This window comes from Homo sapiens, chromosome 2 (genome assembly GCF_000001405.40).
Source record: "Homo sapiens chromosome 2, GRCh38.p14 Primary Assembly".
NCBI classification, from domain to species: Eukaryota; Metazoa; Chordata; class Mammalia; order Primates; family Hominidae; genus Homo; species Homo sapiens.
This window is the reverse complement of record NC_000002.12, coordinates 223914256-223937476: the sequence shown is the minus strand read 5'-3', so window position 1 is coordinate 223937476 and position 23221 is coordinate 223914256. Positions and strand designations below refer to the sequence as shown.

General features: G+C 42.5%; 1 protein-coding gene and 1 pseudogene across 1 annotated transcript in view, besides 1 other annotated feature; one reads left to right on the top strand and one right to left on the bottom strand.

The window, feature by feature from the left end:
• Nucleotides 1-23221, top strand: part of WDFY1 (WD repeat and FYVE domain containing 1) — a 69988-nt gene that overhangs the window by 7859 nt on the left and 38908 nt on the right. Inside the window, exon 2 of the mRNA NM_020830.5 lies at nucleotides 19467-19534. Coding sequence (NP_065881.1) covers nucleotides 19467-19534 — 68 coding nt within the window. The remainder of the gene's footprint in view (nucleotides 1-19466; nucleotides 19535-23221) is intronic.
• Nucleotides 15023-15523: an enhancer, noted in NCBI's record as "H3K27ac hESC enhancer chr2:224786671-224787171 (GRCh37/hg19 assembly coordinates)". NCBI's record gives its function as "activates a minimal SCP1, AML or CMV promoter by ChIP-STARR-seq in primed H9 embryonic stem cells {active_cell/tissue: H9 hESC(primed)}" and the evidence as "EXISTENCE:reporter gene assay evidence [ECO:0000049][PMID:30033119]".
• GTF3AP3 (general transcription factor IIIA pseudogene 3) lies at nucleotides 16601-17582 on the bottom strand (annotated as a pseudogene).

Genomic DNA, 23221 nt, shown 5'->3' with positions numbered 1-23221 from the left:
AGAGAAAACATTATGCAAGTGTTAGTTGTTATTGTTTTCATTCCCATTTATTTTCCATTTAATTGCTTTAATCTTAAAGACTGGGACAGAGAAAGCACTATACAAGTGTTAGCTATTATTATTTTCATTTCCACTTATTTTGCATTTTGTTACTTTAATCTTACGAAAGAGTAATATGTTTCTACTTTGTATGCATGTTTGTGTGTGCACGTGAATAAGTGAAAATAAAAAAATTTTTCCTGTTTGAATAGGACAATACCATTTGAGGGGTTATTTACAATCCTAAATTCTTAGAACTGCCTTTGAGTCATGCCTTTTCTTTATTTCCATATTTGGTTACTTGCAGGTCATGTCAGTGATTAGTTTCACTTAGACATCTTTCCCCTGCTATATTTGAGATCCTCAAGATCGGGTTCATTGATTCACTAGAAAGATTGACACATTATAGTCATACGCATGGCTGTGATTTATCATAGCCAAAAGACGCAAAACAAAATCAGCACATGGGGTGAAATCCAGAGGAAACCAGACACAAGGCTTCCAAGAGTCCTCTTCCTGTGGAGTCACAGGACAGGCTAATTCAGATTGAATTAAGACAACATGTGTGAAATATTGTTTATCAGGGAAGCTCCTTAGAGACTTTATTCAGTGTTAGAGGCTGGTCATGTAGGTGCCCTTGGCTAATGTTCCAAAATTCCAAACTCTCAGAAGGAAGGTAGGTGGTCAACATAAACCACATATTTTATACAGGCATGAAGCACAGTGAGCCATTCTTAGGAGTTAGGGAATGGTGAGGTCCCCTCTGGATAAACAAGGTCCCAGACACCTGCCAAGGGCCAACCTTGCAAGCAAGACTTTCTAAGGACAGCAGCAGCAGGCCTGCTGTGGGAACTCTTTTCTGCCCACCTGCCCATAATTACCCTAGTGTTTGTCCTCATCATCTTTTAAACCTCATTTTTCAAAGCCTATTAACTGGCTTCCCTGAGTTCCAGCATACTGTACTTGGATCTGTCCCACTAATCTCCTATCTTTAACTAGGCTTTTATTGTGTCTTTTTCCTGCTCATGACCTTTCATTAGCTCCTTATTTAATCATGTCTGTAAAAGGACTTTGGGGGCCGGGCGCAGTGGCTCATGCCTGTAATCACAGAACATGGGGAAGCTGAGGCAGGCAGATTGCTTGAGGCCAGGAGTTAGAGACCAGCCTGGCCAACATAGTCAAACTCTGTCTCTACTAAAAATACAAAAATTAGCCAGGTGTAGGGGCTCATGCCTGTAATCCTCCCAAGAAGCTGGGCTGAGGCACGAGAATTGCTTGAACCCAAGGGGCATAGGTTGCAGTGAGCCAAGATCATGCTGCTGCCCTCCAGCTTGGGCAATAAAGCAAGACTCTGTCCCCAAAAAAAAAAAAAAAAAAAAGGACTTTGGGAACCCCATAACTGCTCCCTGCTAAGCTTTATTTCCACCTTCTATCTCTCATTTATTATGGTTCTTTTGTGTCCAGTGAAGTCAGTGTGTGTTCTGTCCCACTCACACCTGGTACATTTCCCACCTGGGTGCCTTTGCCTCCCTCACCAGGAACCTCACTTGCCCTCTCTCCTGTATTCAGACCCTCCTTCATCTCCTAGATCCACTTCAAGTTCCACCTCCTCCATTGAATAATTCTTCCCAGCCCATCATTCTCTGTCCTTTCTGAGCTTCCTTCAACACTCCTAGTATATTACTGATGATGCCTAGTTAATTACAATCAGGTATTAGTTCCTGTTGCTTTGTGTTTATTCATCTTATCTTCCCACATAGTCTGTACTCCACCAGGTACTGCATAACTAGCTACTGGTTGAATGATACAGACTTAACCATTTCTGCACAGTAGACATTTCCTCTGCTGTGTTTAGCTTTAATAATCTGCTAGTTCTTTCCTAAGAAGCAGATGGTAATATAATGAATGATACTTGTTTCTAGAATTTAGGTATTCATCTTCCCTCTCTACAAAGTATGCTCAGCAAATCTTTCTGAGAGTTGTTAAGACATTATTAGCACATATATACTGATTTCATGATGTATTTTTGTCATACTTCATGGTGAAATAATCTCTTTATTCATTTTTCTTTGTCAACCACATACTACTTTGCTCAAAACACTTCCCTTCAAGGTCAAGGTGAATCTACAGCAGATCACCGTCAAAGAAATTTTAAGTAAAAAGTCGCCTGTGTGGATTTTTTTTCTCTTTCTCCTCGTCTTTATACTTGATTTAGACACTTAGCGTCAGTAGAGTCCAGTTGCAAAGGTTAATGGGGAGATGAGGGTGCTTATAGTGCAACCAGTATTGATGGGGGCATTTTTGGTTTCTAGGTTATGGTTTATAGAAAATACAGCCTAGTATGGAATTCCTGGGATACCTGCAGTGTCCCATAGAGGCTTCGTCCTGCTGTGCTGTTCCCTCGCCGAAACCCTCTTCTCAGTTTCATTTGCTTGATTAACTCCTTCTCATCCATTAGGACTTCTTGTGCGATGTTTGCCAAATCCCCCAACCCACTATACCACCATTCCCACTCCCTAACATTAATCTACCCTTTTTCTGTCCTCATAGCTCTTACCACATTATATTGTTACTGTTACTCATTTACATATTTGTCTTTACTAATTAAACTTTTTCTGGCTGGGCGCAATGGCTCATGCCTGTAACCCCAGCACTTTGGGAGGCCGAGGCAGGTGGATCACCTGAGGTCAGGAGTTGGAGACCAGCCTGGCCAACATGGTGAAACCCCATCTCTACTAAAAATACAAAGATTAGCCAGGCATGGTGGCAGATGCCTGTAATCCCAGCTACTGGGGAGGTCGAGGCAGGAGAATCACTTGAACCCGGGAGGTGGAGGTTGCACTGGGCTGAGATAGTACCATTGCACTCCAGCTTGGGTGACAAGAGTGAGACTCTGTCTCAAAAATTAAAAAAATAAAATAAAATTTTTCTAACATGAAAAACAGTGTAAAGCTTATAGTAATGTCTCAAGTGTTAGTTTGATTGAATCAGTCAACAAATCTGTTAGGGAAAAAGAAGCATGGAACGTAATCTAAAAATAGGCCACTGTCTGGGTGTGGTGGCTCACGCCTGTAATCCCAGCACTTTGCGGGGCCGAGGTGGGTGAATCACTTAAGGTCAGGAGTTTGACACCAGCCTGGCCAATGTGGTGAGACACCCCATCTCTACTAAAAATACAAAAATTAGCTGGGTGAGGTGTTGTGCGCCTGTAGTCCCAGCTACTCGGTAGGCTAAGGCAGGAGAATTGCTTGAACTTGGGAAGCGGAGGTTGCAGTGAGCTGAGATTGTGCCACTTTACTCCAGCCTGGGTGACAGAGTGAGATTCTCTTTCTCAAAAAAAAAAAAAAAAAAAAAAAGAAAAGAAAAAGGCTGCTATTCCTTATTAGAAACTGTGCTTCTTTGTGATTCCTTTAATTTGTGTTTTAAGACTTCTAGGCCATGGATAGGGTTCGAGACTTTTTTTTTTTTTTTTTTTTGAGGCAGGGTCTCACTCTGTCTCCCAGGCTGGTGTGCAGTGGCACAATCAGAGCTCACTGTAGCCTCCACCTCCTGGGCTCAAACGATCCTTCCACCTCAGCCTCCTGAGTTTGAGACCACAGACATGTACCACCACTCCTTGCTAATTTTTGATTTTTTTTTGTAGAGATGGGGGGGGGTCTCACTATGTTGCCCAGGCTGGTCTTGAACTCGTGGGCTCAAGTGATCCTCCAGCCTCAGTCTGCCAAGTAGCTGGGATAACAGACGTGTGCCACCATGCCCAGCTAATTTATTTTTATTTTTTGTAGAGACAGGGTATTGGTATGTTGCCAGGCTGGTCTCAAGCCCCTAGGCTCAAGTGATCCTCCCACCTCAGCCTCCCAGAGTACTGGGATTACAGGTCTGAGCCACTGTGCCTGGCCAGACTTTGTAATGTAAGAAAGTGTTGCCTAGATCCTCCATGGACTCCAGCCTGTCTAGATTATTCCTGCTCTTCAGTGATTAGAGTGGTTTCTAGGCTTCTTGATGGCACAAGGATCACAAAAAATTATTTTTATGCTAACAGTGAAAAGATTACAGCAAGAATGGTTTGGAGTAAAAAAAAAAAAAAAAAATCTGCAGGTTTTCAGCCAATCTGGCTTCTGGAAGGGTGATATTTGTTTAAAGGGGGTGCAAATGCTGGGGCCACCCAGTGGCTTCTTCCCTGGATAAAATCTGCCTGTGGTGACATCAGCAGTCTAATTCTTGGTCACAGACCCTTGAAGCTGTCCTGTGGGAGGGGATGGAAATTTCTGTTTTTCTCAGCCAATCTAATTCTCCTCTACAAAATGAGGCTGGTTTCTCTGCCTTTTAATTTAGAGAATAAATTCAATAACAATCTAACATTTTCTCTCCCTGTTACCAAAGGAGAAAGACTTCTTTTTGCAGCAAGAATGAACAGGGCAGAATTCCAGAGACTCGTTGGAAGGAAATTGCTATTTATTCGATAAAAACAGATGGCAATGATAGCTATGTTGTTCGTTCCCCCTTTCAGGCAAACGTCTTAATGTTATAGAAACCATCTAGCATGCCAGAAGTACACTTTTTTTTTTTCCTGTATCCCCTGGAGGTACTGTCAGACTAGGAAAAAATATCCTTTGCTATAGGTGACAGAAATGTTCACAGATTTACCAAGATTTGAAATAGTATCAGCATCCCTAAGAATGACCAGAAAATCAGATTTTCTCAGAATTACTGTTTGCCCAGAGTTTAAAAGAAATCAGGACCTTGGACTTAATTTGTAACATATAGTATGCCCTTTTAAAATGATTAATTGAATGATCTCTTTTTATCAGTTTAGAATTTAAGGATGGTTAAATTGCTTTAATTTAGCTGTTTTTGGAGTGATTAGGGTGTGTTTTTGAGAAAGTTTAAAAAAGATATTCAGTTTCAGAGATATTGCTGTTTCAGGCCAGGTAGAACTTGGTGTGATTTTGTAGAAATAATTATGTGCTAGTTGAGTCTGCTTATTAAAGTCTGGACATCAATTTCAAGGTAATCGACCCGGCGCCATGGCTCATGCCTGTAATCCCAGCACTTTGGGAGGCCGAGGTGGGCGAATCACAATGTCAGGAGATCGAGACCATCCTGGCTAACACGGTGAAACCCTGTCTCTACTAAAAATACAAAAAATTAGCCAGGCGTGGTGGCAGGCACCTGTAGTCCCAGCTGCTCGGGAGGCTGAGGCAGGAGAATGGCGTGAACCCAGGAGGTGGAGCTTGCAGTGAGCCGAGATTGCACCACTGCACTCCAGCCTGGGTGACAGAGCGAGACTTCGTCTCAAAAAAAAAAAAAAAAAAAAAAAGGTACTCATACTGGTAATACATACTAGAAAATATGTATTGAACCCAAATGTATACCCTTATGGAATTACAGGTTTAAAAATATTTCCAGTGCCCTTTCTGGTATGGGGAAAAAAAAAAAATTAGACCAATTAGGCCAGGTGCAGTGGCTCACGCCTGTAATCCCAGCACTTTGGGAGGCCGAGGTAGGTGGACCACTTGAGGCCAGGAGTTCAAGACCAGCCTGGCCAACATGGCGAAACCCTGTCTGTACTAAAAATACAAAAATTAGCTGGGTGTGGTAGTGCATGCCTGTAGTCCCAGCTACTTGGGAAGCTGAGGCAAGAGAATTGCTTGAACCCGGGAGGCAGAGGCTGCAGTGAGCTGAGATCACGCCACTGCCTCCAACCTGTGCAACAGAGCAAGACTCTGTCTCAAAAAAAAAAAAAAAAAAGAAAGAAAAATATTAATGACTCCTGCAAGATGCCTCCTGGTTTGTGAGCCAGTGCTTTTCAGAGGAAAAAATTGTACCTTGAATCTATCTTTGCTCCTACTGTATTGTGGCTTAAATAGATGAGGCTTTCAAGACTTAGTGATTCCCTTAAGTGTATTTTAACCTTATTTTTAATTGGCTCTTTGATAGAGTTTAACAGTAGAAATAAAAAGGAATCCTTCTACTTATTATGATCATCAGGCATATCTTTCAGCAGATCAAAGATTAATCTCCCTGGAATAAACACTTTATTCTTAATCATAACTGTGGTTATAACTCCACTTTTCATATATCTACTATAGGAAGGTAAAGCATACAGAAGTTTTATCCTTGGTAGACAGGATAACAAACATTACTATATGATATTTAAGAGTAATAACTTTATTTTGTACTTCAGTGACTGCTTCCATTTTTAAGGATTCAAATTAGCACTTTTGCAAAATGGGAATCCTGTATTTCAATTAAGAGTTGAAATGGAGTTATTCGTACTATCTACTTTAAAATCCTTGGCATTCAATAAATGCCAAATGCTTTTTATTTTTAATTTTAACCTCAGATTCCTATGGTTCTTAAAGGTATATTATTTATTTGGAACAGAAAGCATGGTGTCAGTTAGCTCGTGCTACATAACAAACTACCTCAAAACTCAGTGGCTTAAAACAGCAGGGATTTGTCATTGTTCATGAGCCTACAGGTCACCTAGGCAGTGCTTCTGGCCTCAGCCAGGCTCACTCATGCTTGTGGCCAGCCGTGGGCCAGCTCTGCTGAGCTTAGCTGGACTCTTTCTCATGCCTGGGAGTGAGCTTGCTACAGGCGGGCCGAGGATGGCTTCAGCTAGGACAGTTGAGCTCTCTCCCATGTCGTCATTTGTCCTCTGGTAGGCTGGCCCCTGTGGTTCATGTGACGTGGCAGTCTTCCAAGACACAGAGTGAGAGCAAACCAGGCCTCAGGACCCAGTACTAGCACCCCATTCAGCCACATTTTTTTAAACATAGCGTCACTAGCCAACCCATATTCAAGGCTCAGAGAAATAGGCAAGGCACGGCAGTTCATGCCTGGGAGGCCAAGGAGGGCGGATCACGTGAGGTCAGGAATTCGAGACCAGTATGGTCAACATGGTGAAACCCCGTCTCTACTAAAAATACACAAACTTAGCCTGGCGTGGTGGCGCATGCCTGTAATCCCAGCTACTCAGGAGGCTGAGGCAAGAGAATCGCCTGAACCCGGTAGGCGGAGGTTGCAGTGAGCCGAGATCAAGCCATTGCACTCCAGCCTGGGTGACAGAACCGGACTCCGTCTCAAAACAAAAACAAGGCTCAGAGAAATATATTCCATCTCTTGATGGAAAGAGCTGCAAAATGGCTGATTGTAAGGAGCGTGGATGCAGGGAGGAGTAAAGAATTGAGCACATTGTTTTTTAAATTGTTTCACCACAGGCACTTACATACAATATCGCACGCTGTAGCTAGATTGGGCTAAATCTAGAGCTGGAGGTAGTGAGAGACTTTGTTGGAATCACCACTCGTATTTAGCACAGAGGTCAGTATTTCTTTGAACCAAGTGAGCTTTGAAGTTAGACCTGAACTTTTCCATACTCTGATTTATTTGGGGGGAAAAAGTAATTTACTGCTTCTTGTTTCCTTATTGTTTAGGAATTACTGCTTTGGAGGATAAAGTGTGGATTTCTAAAAAGCCTTTAAAAAAGTTTTACTTACTTACCACATAAGGCTGCTTTGCTTTGAATTGTTTACTTTGATAATGTTTTAAAGATGAACTTTCACCATCTTGATAAGAGAGAAAGTTGGTCAAACAACTAAATGAAGTCAGTCTGATGCAGTGCTGCTGTTGGTTTGTGTGATTTTCAGATCGTATCTCTCCTTGCTTCTGCTTCCTTAAGTGTAAAATGAAGGCAGAAGCGCCTGTCATCCCTGCCATCAGGATGTGGCACCTCGTTCTCAACAGACCACAAGCTTTTCATGAATCTTTATTTTTTTAAATTTTTTTTAGAGAAGGTGGTAGAGGGAAGTTCAGGGAGGTGCAGGGAGGTGGGAAATCACAGAGTTGCTTTTCACGAATCTTGATGTGTGTCTAGAATGCAGGAACATTCTTGTGTGTGCCACAACAGTTCAGTGTTGTGAGCTTGCAGGAAGTTAAGCAGGAGGCTGGGCACGGTGGCTCATGCCTGTAATCCCAGCACTTTGGGAGATCGAGGTGGGCAGATCACCTGAGGTCAGGAGTTCAAGACCAGCCTGACCAACATGGTGAAACCCCATCTCTACTAAAAATACAAAAATTAGCTGGGCATGGTGGTGGGTGCCTGTAATCCCAGCTACTAGCGGGGCTGAGGCAGGAGAATCGCTTGAACCCGGGAGGCGGAGGTTGCAGTGAGAAGAGATCTCACCATCACACTCCAGCCTGGGCATAAAGAGCAAAACTCTGTCTCAAAAAAAAAAAAAAACAAAAAACAGAAAGAAAAAAAAAAAGAAGTTAGACAGGGACACATGCTGATGGAGAGGCACAGTTTATTGCCTTATAACTTTCAGGCCCAAGAGCTAGGTGCCTTTTGGGAGCATCTTCTCCTTCACTGTCCTTCTGCATCTGATGTCTTGGCCAGCTCTGCTGGCTCTGCCTTCTGCTCACTGCTCCTTTGGGAACGATGCTATCAAGGCCCCTGGCTACCCAGGCACCTCTAGTCTGGTGTCCAGGTCCATGTCTCCTTTTTGGTCCTGGGGCTCTCTCACCCCCCCTGCAATAACATCTGCAGACACGTTGAATCCACTAATAGACTCACTGGGGGCAGATGGTGCTCCAGAATCCCAAGCCTGACCCAAGGCACAAGTTCATTTGAAGGCCAGCATAGGCCAGGGTGAGTGTACTCAGCGATGGACAACTGAAGCCTCTGGCATCTGCCTTATGGAAAAAAGGAAAGTTGTGCCACTATATTTGAAATTGCTTCGGATTCCAATGACTTCTGTTTTTGCTTTTGGTGGGGACAGCAATTTAAAGGATAGACTCTTAGGGAGTGGAACATTTTAACATGTAGAATTTTAGGTAGCCACTCTTGAAAACCACATAAAATAAGTCCCTAAGTGCCTCAAGGCTCATTGCGCAAAATGTTTAATTGTGGCTCACTGGGGAGGTCGGTCAGCAGGTATCCTGCTGTTCTGCCAGAACTCAGCCTCCGTATCTTTTCTCTGGGGTTCTCACAAGGAGCCCAGGACATTGTCTGCCTTGGAGGTGGGTTCTCTTCTCCTCCCCTTCTCCTGTCCTTTATCAGCCTCCCTACCTGCCCTGCCCAGCCTGATGTAGTGTGGTTGCATAATTTAGTTATATGATTTGATACAAGCATACCTTGTTTTATTGTGCTTCTCAGATACTGCATTTTGTACACATTGAAGGTTTATGGCAACCATGCACCAGGCAAGTCTATCTGTGCCATTTTTCCAATACATTGTGCTCACTTTGTGTCTCTGTGTCACATTTTGGTAATTCTTGCAATATTCCAAACTTTATTATTATATCTGTTGTGGTGGTCTGTGTTCAGTGATCTTTGATATTACTATTGTAATTGTTTTGGGGAGCCACAAACTGTGCCCACATAAGATGGCAAACTTAAATGATAGTGTGTGTGATCTGAATACTCCATCAACGGGCTGTTACCCTATGTCTGTCTGTCTCTCTCTCTCTCCCTCCCTCTTTCCCTGCCTCCCTCCTTTCCCCCTTTCCCCCCAGGCCTCCTTATTCCCTGAGACACAACAATATTGAAATTAGGCCAGTGAATAACCCTACAATAGCCTCTGAGTGTTCAAGTGAAAGGAAGAGTCACATATCTCTAACTTTAAATCAAACGTTAGAAATGATTAAGCTTAGTGAGGAAGGCACATCAAAAGCTGAGACAGGCCGAAAGCTAGGCCTTTTGCACCAAACAGCCAAGTTATGGATGCAAATGAAAAGTTCTTGAAGGAAATTAAAAGTGCTAATCTAGTGAAAACATGAATAAGAAAGCAAAACAGCCTTATTGATGATACGGAGAAAGGTTTAGTGATCTGAATAGAAGATCAGACCAGCCACAACATTCTCTTAAGCCAAAGCCTCATCCAGAGCAAGGCCTTAATCCTCTTCGATTTTATGAAGCCTGAGAGGGGTGAGGAAGCTACAGAAGAAAAGTTTGAAGCTAGCAGAATTGGCACATTAGGTTTAAGGAAAGAAGCAGTCTACATAACATAAAAGTGCAAAGTGAAGCATCAAGTGCTAATGTAGAAGCTGCAGCAAGTTATCCAGAAGATCTAGTGAAGATAATTGGCAAAAGCAATTACATTAAACAATAGATTTTCAATGCAGACCAAACAATTCTTTTGGAAGAAGATGCCATCTAGGACTTTCATAGCTAGTAGAGAAGTCAGTGCCTGGCTTCAAAGCTCCAAAAGATAGGTTGACTTTCTTCTGTGGCTAATGCAGCTGGTAACTTTAAGTTGAAGTCATTGCTCATTAACCATTCCAAAAATCCTAAGACCATTAAGAATTATGTTAAGTCTACTTTGCCATGTGCTCTATAAATGGAACAACAAAGCCTGGATGACAACATGTGTGTTGACAGCATGGTTTACTGAATATTTTAGGCCCATTGTTGAGACCTACTGCTCAGAAAAAAAGATTCCTTTCAAAATATTATTGCTTGTTGGCCGGAAACGGTGGCTGACACCTGTAATACCAGCACTTTGGGAGGCCGAAGCAGACAGATCACTTGAGGTCAGGAGTTCGACACCAGCCTGGCCAACATGGCAAAATCCCGGCTCTACTAAAAATACAAAAATTAGCCAGGCACAGTTTTGCACATCTGTAAGTCCAGCTGCTCAGGAGGCTGAAGCATGAGAATCGCTTGAGCCTAGGAGGCAGAGGTTTCAGTGAGCTGAGATTGTGCCACTGCACTCCAGCCTGGGTGATGGAGTGAGACTCTGTTTCAAAAATACACATACACACACACACACACACACACGCACATATTTGTATATATATGAAATACACACACATATATATGTAAATGTATGTATATTTGCTTATTGAAAATGCACCTAGTCACCCAAGAACTCTGAGGATGGAGACATACCATGAGATTAATGTTGTTTTTCATGCCTGCTAATACAACACTCATTCTGTAGCTCATGGATCAAGGAGTAATTTCAACTTTCAAGTTTTGTGATTTAAAAAATACACTTTTGCTGGGCATACTGGCTCATGCTTGTAGTCTCAGCACTTTGGGAGGCTGAGGTGGCAGGATCACTTGAGTGACCAGCCTGGGCAGTAGAATGAGACTTTATAAAAGCCTTAAAAAAGTTAGCCAGGTGTCGTGGTGTGTGCCTGTAGTCCCAGTTACTGGGGAACCTGAGGTGGGAGGATCCCTGGAGCCTGGGAAGCATAGGTTGCAGTGAGCCTTGATTGTGCTACTGCACTCCAGCCTGAGTAACCGAGGGAGACCCTGTCTCAAAAGAAAATTTTTTTATAAGGCTATAACTGCCGTAGATAGTGCCTCTGATAGATCTGGGCAAAGTAAGTTGAAAACCTTCTGGAAAGGATTCACCATTCTAGATGTCATTGAGAACATTCATGATTCTTGAGAGAAGGTTAAACTGTCAGTATTAATAGGAATTTGGAAGAAGTTGATTCCAGCCCTCATGGATAACTTTGAGGGGTTCAAGCCTTCAGTAACTGCAGATGTGGAAATAGCAAGAGAATTAGAATTAGAAGTGGAACATATAGATGTGACTGAATTGTTGTAATCTCATGATAAAAGCTGAATGTTTAAAGAGTTTCATATGGATGAGCAAAGAAAGTGGTTTCTTGAGATGGAATCAACATCTAATGAAGATGCGGTGAACATTGTTGAAATGGCAGCAAAAGATTTAGAATATTCCATAAACTTAGGTGATGGAGGAGCAGCAGGCATTAAGAAGATTGACTCCACTTTTGAAAGAAGTTCTATTATGGGTAAAATGCTATTAAATTGCATTGCATGCTACAGAGAAGTCTTTTGGGAAAGGAAGAGTCAATCGATGCAACAAACTTCTTGGTTGTCTTATTTTAAGAAGTTGCCACAGCCACGCCAACCTTCATCAACAACCATCCTGATGGATCAGCAGCATCAACATTGAGGCAGGACCCTCCACCAGCAAAATGATTACCCCTCGCTGAAGGTTCAGATGATCGTTAACTTTTTTTTAGCAATAAAGTATTTTAAAACTAAGGTATGTACATTGATTTTTAGATGTAATGCTACTGCACACTTAACAGACTATAGTGTAACTACAGCTTGCATATGGGAAACCAAAAATTTGTGTGACTCACTTTGTTGCGACATTTGCTTTATTGTGATAAACCTGCAATATCTCTGAGGGTTATAATAATCTCTGTGTTATGCTTTTTTTTTTTTTTTTTAGGAACAAAAAAGCTGACCATTTCATAAACATTTTATTGGGGCTCCAGGACTTCATAACTATTTGTAATGATTATATAAGCTATTGAATTACTCTATCATTAACCCATTTCATTCTTTAACATATTTTCCCCATTTTTACTCCTTGGATAAAGCTTATATGAAGTTTTTTAAATTTGTAGTTCCTTTTTTATTCTATTAAATGATTTCTATAGAACCAATTTCCAAGCCTGGAATTCCTTAATCAAAGTTTATCATTAGTGTTGTTGTCATTATTATTGGGCAGGTGTATTTGTTTCTCTCTATATTGGAGCAAAATTCTTGCCAAATAGTTCTAATTTACAATTCTGACAAAGAAGTATGAGAGCCCTAGAAGTGGCATTTTGTTATTGTTTTGAGTTGTTCCTTTGCTTTCCCTGCACAGCAGTACATTTTAAAAACATTTTAATCTGAAACATTTAGCATAAAAAAGAATCAATTTTGGAATTTTATTTACTTGGAAAATAAATGAATCATCTACAGTGCTGAACAATGATAAACAAATAAAGTCATGGGGCCAGGTGCGGTGGCTCACACCTGTAATCCCAGCACTTTGGGAGGCCGAGGCGGGCAGATCACTTGAGGCCAGGAGTCCAAGACCAGCCTGGCCAACATGGTGAAACCCTGTCTGTACTAAAAATACAAAAATTAGCCAGGCATGGTGACACATGCCTGTAATCTCAGCTGCTGGGGAGGCTGAGGCATGAGAATCGCTTGAACCCAGGAGGCAGAGGTTACAGTGAGCTGAACTTGTGCCATACCGCTCCAGCCTGGGTGATGGAGTGAGACTCTGTTTAATAAATAAATAAAGTGATGGTAGTGGCGTGCATACCCTGTAAGTTATATATGTATAACATAGTCATATATGGAGATACCTTTTCTCATCTGTTCCTGGAAGATATTGCAGCTATATGCAAGTCCTTGCTTCTCTAAAAGTGCAGAGGAGATAGATGGTAGAAGCCCTCCACAGGAATGGTAGCATGGAGAAGTTTGGAAAAGATTTATTAGGCTCTGAAAGCAATGACACATTTCCTTTCTAAGGATCTTTTGGAAAAATATCAGACTATTGTTTTAAAACAACTTAAAAATAGAGCTTGGAAAAGAATGAACACGTTTCTAAGGTTGTGGTTTTAAGGAAAGATTTCTTTTCCCCAGATTGATGTGGTCCTGGAATATAAAAGAAAATCCAGCCATTAGAAAAATGGGCAGAATAAGCAGCAGGAAAAACATAAGATGAGTTTATGTGGGTGTAAAATTGTCAAAATATTAAAGGAAAACATAAGCTGTTTTATCTTAGTGGAGAGAGTGGTTTAGACATTCAATCTAGACAGAAAATATTGTGATTTATACAAAAAATAATACCATCTGATCTTGACACTTCAGTGATTAGACGGTTTATTTATTTATTTTTTTTTTTTGAGACGGAGTCTTGCTCTGTCGCCCAGGCTGGAGTGCAGTGGCGCGATCTCGGCTCACTGCAAGCTCCGCCTCCCAGGTTCATGCCATTCTCTTGCCTCAGCCTCCCGAGTAGCTGGGACTACAGGTGCCCGCCACCACGCCTGGCTAATTTTTTGTATTTTTAGTAGAGACAGGGTTTCACCATGTTAGCCAGGATGGTCTCGATCTCCTGACCTTGTGATCCACCCGCCTCGGCCTCCCAAAGTGCTGGGATTACAGTTTATTAATATTATCCTAGACTTTGAAATAGTTTGCTCCTGTAAATATTACTAAACTATTATTATGTTGCTTTCAACTTACTGAATAGTAGATTTTACTTCCAATTTACTGGATAGTAATTTTTTAGTCTGGAATTTGTTGTATTTTAAATAAGTGGCCCAACTTAAAACTATTTTTACAACCATTTGGTAAATATTCTGGACATAATACAAAATACATTCGTATATTACTCATAGAAATGAGCATCTCTGTTTAATAGGTTCTTGGGGTACAATAGTGTTAAGGGTTAAACTTTGGTTTGATTTAGTCTTGGAAGAGGAAGGGTCTGGTTTGAAAAGAGATGGAAGGGAATGCCAGATGAAGGTGTAAAGACAAAGGTAGCGCCAACCATCCAGGCCAGTTGCCTCATTTGGAACCTGATTCCCAGACAAGGAGGGCCTTCTCTCAGCTGGGATGTGACCGACAGTTTTCAAACAAAAAGCCTAAGAGATCGTGGAAGTCTTGACAATTTCCTAGTTTATTAGATGGGTCCCAGCATAGGTCCAATTTGTGCCAACCAAACTATATGCTGATGTTTGTCTTCCAAAGGAAGTAATACTGTGTTCAAAATGCTGGAATCTAAGTAGGTTCGATTTTGACTTTGGGCTAGTTTAAGTATTCTAAAGCTGTATGAAATTAACATTAGACTTTTCCAGGTTAAATACTTGGTTGGAAGAGACAACCTTTAAGATTTTCTCCTCCCAGCAGAGTTCTCTGATTTCTGAATTGTGCCCTTCTTTCCATGAGCACTGAGCAAGAGCACATGCCACTAGATCCTTTGAGCCACCTACACATTCATGACCTAAGATTGCTGGAATTGATTTGAAGAGTTTTAGAACATGTCAGCATTCTGTTCTTCCTTTGACCTAAGAAACCCGAACACACAGGCAGCTGGCAGGTTTACTTTGTGATTGTACGAATGAAGCCTGTGAGTGTGAAGTGCTGCTGCATGAATCCTTGATCTCCAGGTGCCTTGGCCTTTGTCACTGTGTGTTTGGAGGTGGAGGAGAATCCTTGAACAGAGTTAATGCTTAGCAGGAAGTTGGCCTCTTGTTTATTTCAATGGTTTTGGCTTCATCCCCTATGTCGGAATGTATCCATAAACATTCTGATTTAAGTAATATGGAATATAGTCAACTCACTGCAATAATATATTGGCTGTTCATGTTTAAGGATCATCATTGGATAGAAGCATCCACTGATTCTTTTAGATGAAGAAGTTATGCTGAAATGGCATCCATCCTGTGATCTGCTCAGAAAACACTGTCTGGAGAGAAGAGTTCTTGGTAGGGTGGGGAGGAAGGTGGATTTAGGGCATAACCTGAGCTGGACGTATTCAGGGAATGTGAGGATGACAGCTCACTGGGATGCAGGCTCTGGGATGGGGAGTCATAGGCGCTAAGGTTGTCAGTTGAATCTGGATTTGAGATAACCACTGGTGGGTTCTGAGCATAGGGGCACTGTGATCCAGGCGGCTCCTTGGGAGAGGTAGCTGGGGGTCAGCACACTGGAGGTGGAGCAGAGGGAGGCAAGAGTCCACTACTCCTGTGAGAGCAGGCCTACTGCTGTGTGAAAGATGGGACCTAGACTGTGGTAGTCACGCTGAGGATGACAAATGAGGATGGCAAACGTGATATATGGGAATTATCGTTTAATTCTTAAAAAACAAACAGCGACACCATTAACACACCCAAAGGAATGAGCAACAGCCAGGTGTGGTGGTACACGTCTGTAGTCCCAGCTGCTCAGGAGGCTGAGGTGGGAGGATCGCTTGAGCCCAGGAGTTCGAGGCTTCAGTGAGCTGTGATCACACCACTGCACTCCACCCTGGGTGACGGAGCGAAACCCTGTCAAAAAAAAAAAAATCTTTAAAATATCCTCAAATATCTATACATATCTTTTAGTTTGAATTAGGATTTAAGTAAGTCTACCTATTTTAATTGCTGGATAGACCTCTAAAATCTCTTTAATCATAGGTTTGTTCTTCCTCTCTATTTTTTTTTCCCTTGCAAATTATTTGTAGAAGAAAGTGAGTCATTTCTCTATGGAGTTTCCTGCAGTCTTGACTTTGCTGAATGGTGCTCAGTATGTTCCCATGTCCTCTGTATTTCCTATCAATTGGTTGGTGGATCTAAAGGATTAATCCAGTTGTGTTAGCCCTAAGGCTTGTTTCTATCCAGTTCACATACAGAATAGCATTAATCTCACTGTGGTGCTAGGTCATCTTATTTGTTTGGATAAATAAAGACCAACTACTAGTTTTACTTTTAATCATATATAATAGTGTGTACAGATCTTGGGTAGAGTTGGACAGGTTCTAACAAATACATATATCCATGGTTACCAACACCCGGAGCCTTGATGTTCCCCTAGAAAGTTTTCTCTCTTCTGATTGCATTCAGTCCTCCTCTTACCCCAGAAGCAACCACTATTCTGATTGTCCCTCTGGTCTCTGATCAGTTTGACTTGTATTTTTTGTCGTTGTTTTACATCAGTGATTTTAATAAAGAAAAACAGACTTCTGAGGGAAGGTAACCAGGCCCACTGGTCCGCAGTCCTGTAAACAAAGCGATGTGATGCTTAGCTGAAGGCGAGGATAGCCACTGTCGAGAGTACCTTGTCTTCCGTACGGTTCAGCCACTCTCTGTTTTAAGCAAAGATAAGCCTTGCCCATCTTTTTCCCTTGAGGAGGGATGCATCCACTGAGGCAAGGGCCAAACTCCATTTTTCACGAGATGGTTTTACTTTGAGCTCCATTTTCTCCTCAGGATCGTGCACCAGCCATGCCTGGTGAGACTTTGTTTTATTGCAAGGTTTCCTGCAAGGTTTCCCACAGCCGGCGTGTTCACACACAACAGGGCACTCTTACTCCTGAAAGGAGACTGTGGCTCTGGAGGTTACATACAGCTGTGCAGGTTCCACCCTGTTCTTCTCTTGGGCAGCAACCCATGTCTCTTTCTTGGATATGTTTTCATGTGCTGCTGAAAATCATCTTTCCATGTAAATATTTCCTGGCATACTGCACATGTTATTAATATTTCCTTCTTAGGAGTTTCTCTCATGTTTCAGAAGTTCTATGTTTTGGCCACCAGGGAACATCCCTTTGCTATATACTGTGCAGCCCTCATGGGCCTGGCCGCGTGGGCCCAGCCTGCTGGGTGCAGTGGGTGCTTCCTGATCCCCCTGGGCACACTTGAGCAGCGGGTCACTGGTGTGCTGGCCCTGGTGGATGTCCAGCTGCTGATGCTTCTTAAAGATCTTCTGACAGCCTTCAAATCGCATACCTGTTGTCTTTGTGCATTTTCAAGTTTGCATTGAAAATATTTCTTCAAGTTTGATTTTGTGTTGAATTTGTGCTTATAGCCACCAGCCGCACAGCTTTCCTCCAGTGTGAATGAGGACGTGGGGACTCAGGTGGGAGTCCCTGACGAAGGTCTTATCATGCCCTTCATTGCCACAAACAAATGGTTTCTGCCTTGTGCTTGCATGGGTCTGGCTTGCAGGCCTTGTGGTAATTGGCACTGTGTCGAGGAGAGTGGATGAACCTCCTGGGAAGTGCTATGGTCAGGGTGTGTGAGGGTCTCCCTGGTCTCAAGGGTCAGGGAGGACGCTGCCTCCAGGACACGCTGCCTATGCATCCCACCACCCAGTTTTACTTGTCTAGGCCTCAAAACTGGAAACATATGGTATCAATATTTAGGCTTCATGTATTTTAGGTTAAGGGTGTAAGCATTTATTCAGCTCCTACTTATGCCAGAATCTACATTGCCGTTAGAAATACAAAAATGGGTCACGTGTGGTGGCTCATGCCTCTAATACCAGCACCTTGGGGTCCTGAGGTGGGAGGATTGCTTGAGTCTGGGAAGTCAAGGCTGCTATGAGCCGTGATTGCACCACTGCACTCCAGCCTGGGCCACAGAGCAAGACTGCATCTTAAAAAATAATAAATAAGGGCCGAGTGTGATGATTCACGCCTGTAATCCCAGCACTTTGGAAGGCCAAGGCAGGCGGATCACTTGAGGTCAGGAGTTAGTGACCAGCCTGGCCAACATAATGAAACCCCATCTCTACTAAAAATACAAAAATTAGCTGGGTGTGGTGGCGTGCGCCTGTAATCCCAGCTACTTGAGAGGCTGAGGCAGGAGAATCCCTTGAACCCGGGAGGTGGCGGTTGCAGTGAGCCGAGATCGTGCCACTGCGCTCCAACCTGGGTGACAGAGTGAGACACTGTCCCATAAATAAATAATGAATGAGAAACATAAAAGTGATTGTCACCGAGTTGGCAGTGGGGACAGTAAGGTGGTTATGAGTAACTACAGAGGCAGAGCAGGGCGATCACCTGTGGAATCCCCGGTGTCCTAGGGATGCAGGAGATGGAGAGGCCTGGCGCCCAGAGGCCCTGAGAGTGCAGGAGCAGGAACTGCAGGACTCCCATTGTTTCTCTGAGGTCATAAACCTGAATATTAAACTTTGGCTATTTTGGTCGTTTGTCATTTTCCTGCATGGGCACAGGATTTCCTCATCACCCTGTGCATGTTCCGATGAAAGAGGGCCCCAGAGATGTGGTGTGGAATGATTTCCTCTGGGGAGCAGAAGGCAGAATTGCCATGCCCAAGCCCGAGCCTGCTGTGTGCTCCTGGTGTGCGTGGCGCCCCTCTCCATGCCACTCCTCCATGAGCCTCTTCCCACTCACAGCCACCGCCTTCCTCTCGGCCCAGACGGTCAACCACCAAGTGCACATAATTTGTTTTTACCAAGAAAAGCAGTTAACAGTTCTGTTTTCTTTCTATGTCATTTTGTAATGAACATTTGTTTTTCTTTTTTTTTTTTTTGAGACAGAGTCTCACTCTGTAGCCCAGGCTGGAGTGCAGTGGCGCAATCTCGGCTCACTGTAAGCTCTGCCTCCCGGGTTCATGCCATTCTTCTGCCTCAGGCTCCTGAGTAGCTGGGACTACAGGTGCCCGCCACCATGCCCAGTTAAATGTTTTTTGTATTTTTAGTAGACACGGGGTTTCATCATGTTAGCCAAGATGGTCTTGATCTCCTGACCTCGTGATCCGCCTGCCTCGGCCTCCCAGTGTGCTGGGATTATAGGCGTGAGCCACCGCGCCTGGCCGAACATTTTCATATTATTGAAATGATTTGAAATCCTGACTCCTAGGTACTGCATAACTTACCTTATATCATCATACTTTATGTGACTATATATAGTATGTATATGTATATGGTGTGCATATACAATATGCTATATATGTATCTGTATATAATATATATGTTATATACTATATATGTATGTGTACATGTATGTATATATTTGTCCAGTTTGTCCAGTTAGTTTTATAAGGTCAGTTAGGAAATAGTGTTAAACAAATTTTAAAAATTAAGTTCTCATGGAACACAAAAGATAAAATTACTAAAACCTACTCTATTTTTTCTTTTCTTTTCTCCACAGAACCATCCGGGTATGGCTGAAAAGAGACAGTGGTCAATACTGGCCCAGCATTTACCACACAATGGCCTGTAAGTAGCTGAACTGTTCCATTTGAGAGAAATGTCTCTAATGTTTTTGATGATTTAAATTTCAAAATGTCGGCTGAGCATGGTGGCTCACACCTGTAATCCCAGCACTTTGAGAGGCCAAGGCGGGTAGATCACCTGGGGTCAGGAGTTTGAGACCAGACTGACCAACATGGTGAAAGCCCGTCTCTACTAAAAATACAAAATTAGCTGGGCGTGGTGGTGTGCGCCTGTAATCCCAGCTACTTGGGAGGCTGAGGCAGGAGAATCACTTAAATCTGGAGTTGGAGGTTGCAATGGGTCAAGGTTGCTCCACCGCACTCCAGCCTGGGCGACAGAGCGAGACTCCATCTCAAAAAAAAAATAAGTAAGTTTCAAAATGTCTGATTAAATATTGCTGCTAGATTTCAAAATGAGTTTCTTAGTTGCCTAATACCTCTGACAGGCTGTAATAAACTGCAGGAAAAGTCCTTTTCTTTTGCAAAGGAAGTTGAGTCTCTGGCTTAACTGAAGCAGACTTGAGCAAAACTGAAAAAAAAATAGGAAAATGAACATGTTCTCCTCAGTTTTTCTTTGTCTTAATTTGGCCAACTTACATTAGTAGTAACTTTGTCCTTTATGGTAGCCGATATCAACACTAAAAAAGGACTGTGCCCTCCATAGCGTCATGACTACCTTTGCCCAACCTTTTCACCAACCTCTGGACCTATTGAGAGACATGGTCCAAGGTACAACACATTCTAAATAGAGAATTTTCTCAGCAGTCAGGTATGTTCTATAAATAAATCTGGACGATGAATCTTCTGCTTTGAGACTTCAAAGCAGCCCTGGAGGCCGGGCTTGGTGGCTCATGCCCGTAATCCCAGCACTTTGGGAGGCCAAGGCGGGCGGATCACCTGAGGTTGGGAGTTCGAGACCAGCCTGGCCAACATGATGAAACCCCATCTCTACTAAAAATACAAAATTAGCCGGGCATGGTGGCACATGCCTGTAATCCCAGCTACTCAAGAGGCTGAGGCAGGAGAATCGCTTCAATCCGGGAAGCAGAGGTTGTGGTGAGCTGAAATCACACCACTGCACTCCAGCCTGGGCAACAAGAGCGAAACTCCGTATCAAAAAAAAAAAAAAAAGCAGCCCTGGGATATACCAACATAAGATGACACATAAACTTTAGCCCTTCATGTGAATCTAAGCAGCGTCACCATCCTTGTCTCCCACTTCCTTTCTTCAACCTTTCCTGAAAAGAAAGCCCTGTAGAGAATGCCTGGATGTCATCAAAGTTCAAATGGGGAGTCAACTCCGTTATGCCAAGTAGCCAGACAGGAGGCCTCTGTAGCTGCTAATTTCCTTGAGGTTTCGTCCTTAATCAGTGATTTTCTTCAGTTAAGGGTTTTAATACACAGAGGACAACCCCCTAAGAAAAGAAAAAAGGCTTTAGTGCATGCGTGATGATTTGTTACTGAAGACCATTATCAAGTTTTCCAAAGAAGAGCTCTTGACAGTGGTTGCAGATGCTGCTGATGCTGTCCACTGCTTTCTTAAGAGGTATTCCAGGGCTGTGGAGTTTGTTATAAAGACAGAGCAGCCAGTTATTCAGCAAACTGCATCTCATCAGCTTGAGTCATCCTTTCAGGCACCTCTCTCCTCTGGTAGCACTTTCTCCTTTATACCTATTTCATTGTGCATGCAGCATTTAGATTCTGTAATAATTTTCACAAAAAGTTAGTAGTTTATTAGGATTTTTTATTTTTCTGCCTTCTACCAACAGCCTGGGCAGGCTGGCCAGCTTCTTTGTCTTGGTAGTCATTCAGTGAAATTGAGAGAGACCTTTTGGAACCCTGGTATAAAGATAACTATTATGAAAGGAAGAGTAAAGGCTTATAATACATAAGACATTTGAAGACTTCTTGAAAACCTGATCATAATTTATTGTGCCAAGCAGTGGCATCTCTTCTGTTACCCATGTCTGCATGTACTGTGGATGCGTAACCTTGGTTCTCACACTAAATTCTCACCTTGAGATATGAAGTAACCAATGTCTTAGTGAAGGTGCTTATGGAGCCTGTCTGATAAATTTACTTTGGAAATTTTGGCAGCAGGGCAGAGATAGGTGGGACATCCTGGGTCTCTGAGCCCACCTGTTACCCAACCTGCCCCAGTCTCCCAAAAAGACTTCTGTTAGGCTAACTCCTTACTTTCCAGTGGCCCAGAGATAGATCTGAGAGTTGGAAGTAGCAACAGCCTGAGGAACGCGTATCAGTGCTGGGAAATGTTTTGTCATCATTGGGGAAAATTTTGTTAATACTATGGCTCTTATGCTTCCCACTCTTCCCTTCCTCCATCATTAGCATTTTGGTCATAGCTTAATCTCCCTGAGTCCTTAACCTTGAAATTCATGCTCATTAGAATAGAGACAGAGACTAGAGGGATTTTGTCCCATATTTGGTTCAGTTACTCCTTGACTTGCATTTCCCCCAAATAGTACAACTTTGTAATTAATTTCTCTCCCAGGACACCAAAACCTAGCAGTAGAAATGTGTGTGTTCTCTTGGCTGTTAGATCTCGGGCAAGTGGCAGTGGATCTCTCTGTCTTCAGCCTTTTCTAACTTGGCTTAACTGTCCCCTCCTGAAGGAGCTTCTAGCTCAAGAAGGAGGAACTTGAAAGAACAGACACAGCTTCGCAGTGGGTGGTCGACACCTACATGTTTGTATCTGCACATGTTCAGTGTGTTACTTCTAGATGCTTCTTTATTGCTTCTATTTGGACCTGTATCTGCTGATAAAACTGCAGATACACCACAAGAAGAAAACAGAGTGAATGCATTGTGAGAAATAACTGCATGTCTGTTTTAGAATGACTTTTTATTTCAAAATTAAATTTAGGATACAAAAAGAAGGATGCCATGTTAGTTCTAAAAGCTATCCGCAGATTATCCAATTTAGGATGTCTTAGTGGTTATATCCACCAATTTAAACTTTTTCCTGTGACTTGACAGAGTGATCAATAAGCCAAGCCTTAGTATATTGCTATATGCAGTCCAATTGTGTTCTATAACATTACCTCACATAAAAAAAAAACTTTCAGAATCTGCTTTAGCTGAAGAAAAATGGTAACTCTTGGCTTCTATCTTTACTGTGTACTTCATGCCTTTTTTTGGTAATATAATTTTATGAAACCATCACAACAGCTATGCAAGGCAGATAATATTTTTACCATTTTGTGAATAAGCAAGCTGAGGTTAGAAGGGTTGATTGCTTGTCATTGGAATTCCAATCCATGCTCATCTATGACTCCAAACCTATGCTTCTCACCACAGTGATGGGTAGGTCTACAAACTTTTTATGCAAAGGGCCAGACAGTAAACATTTGGACTATGTGGGCCAATCTCTGTGGCACTTACTCAATTCTGCCTTCCTATCATGCAAGGAGTCATAAACAAGACATAAATATTGCATGTGAGCAATCATAAGTTATATATAAATGTAGCATGCAAGCAATCATAAATGAAAGGGTTTATGTTCCAAAGGAAAAAAAAACTATTTATTAACAAAACATGCAGTCAGCTGAATTTGGCCTTCTGGTGTGATCCAAAGTTTTAAACATTTGATTTTGGACTGCAGTGATGGCTTTTTAAAAGTTCATTGACTTGGCTGGGCATGGTGGCTCATGCCTGTATTCCCAGCACTTTG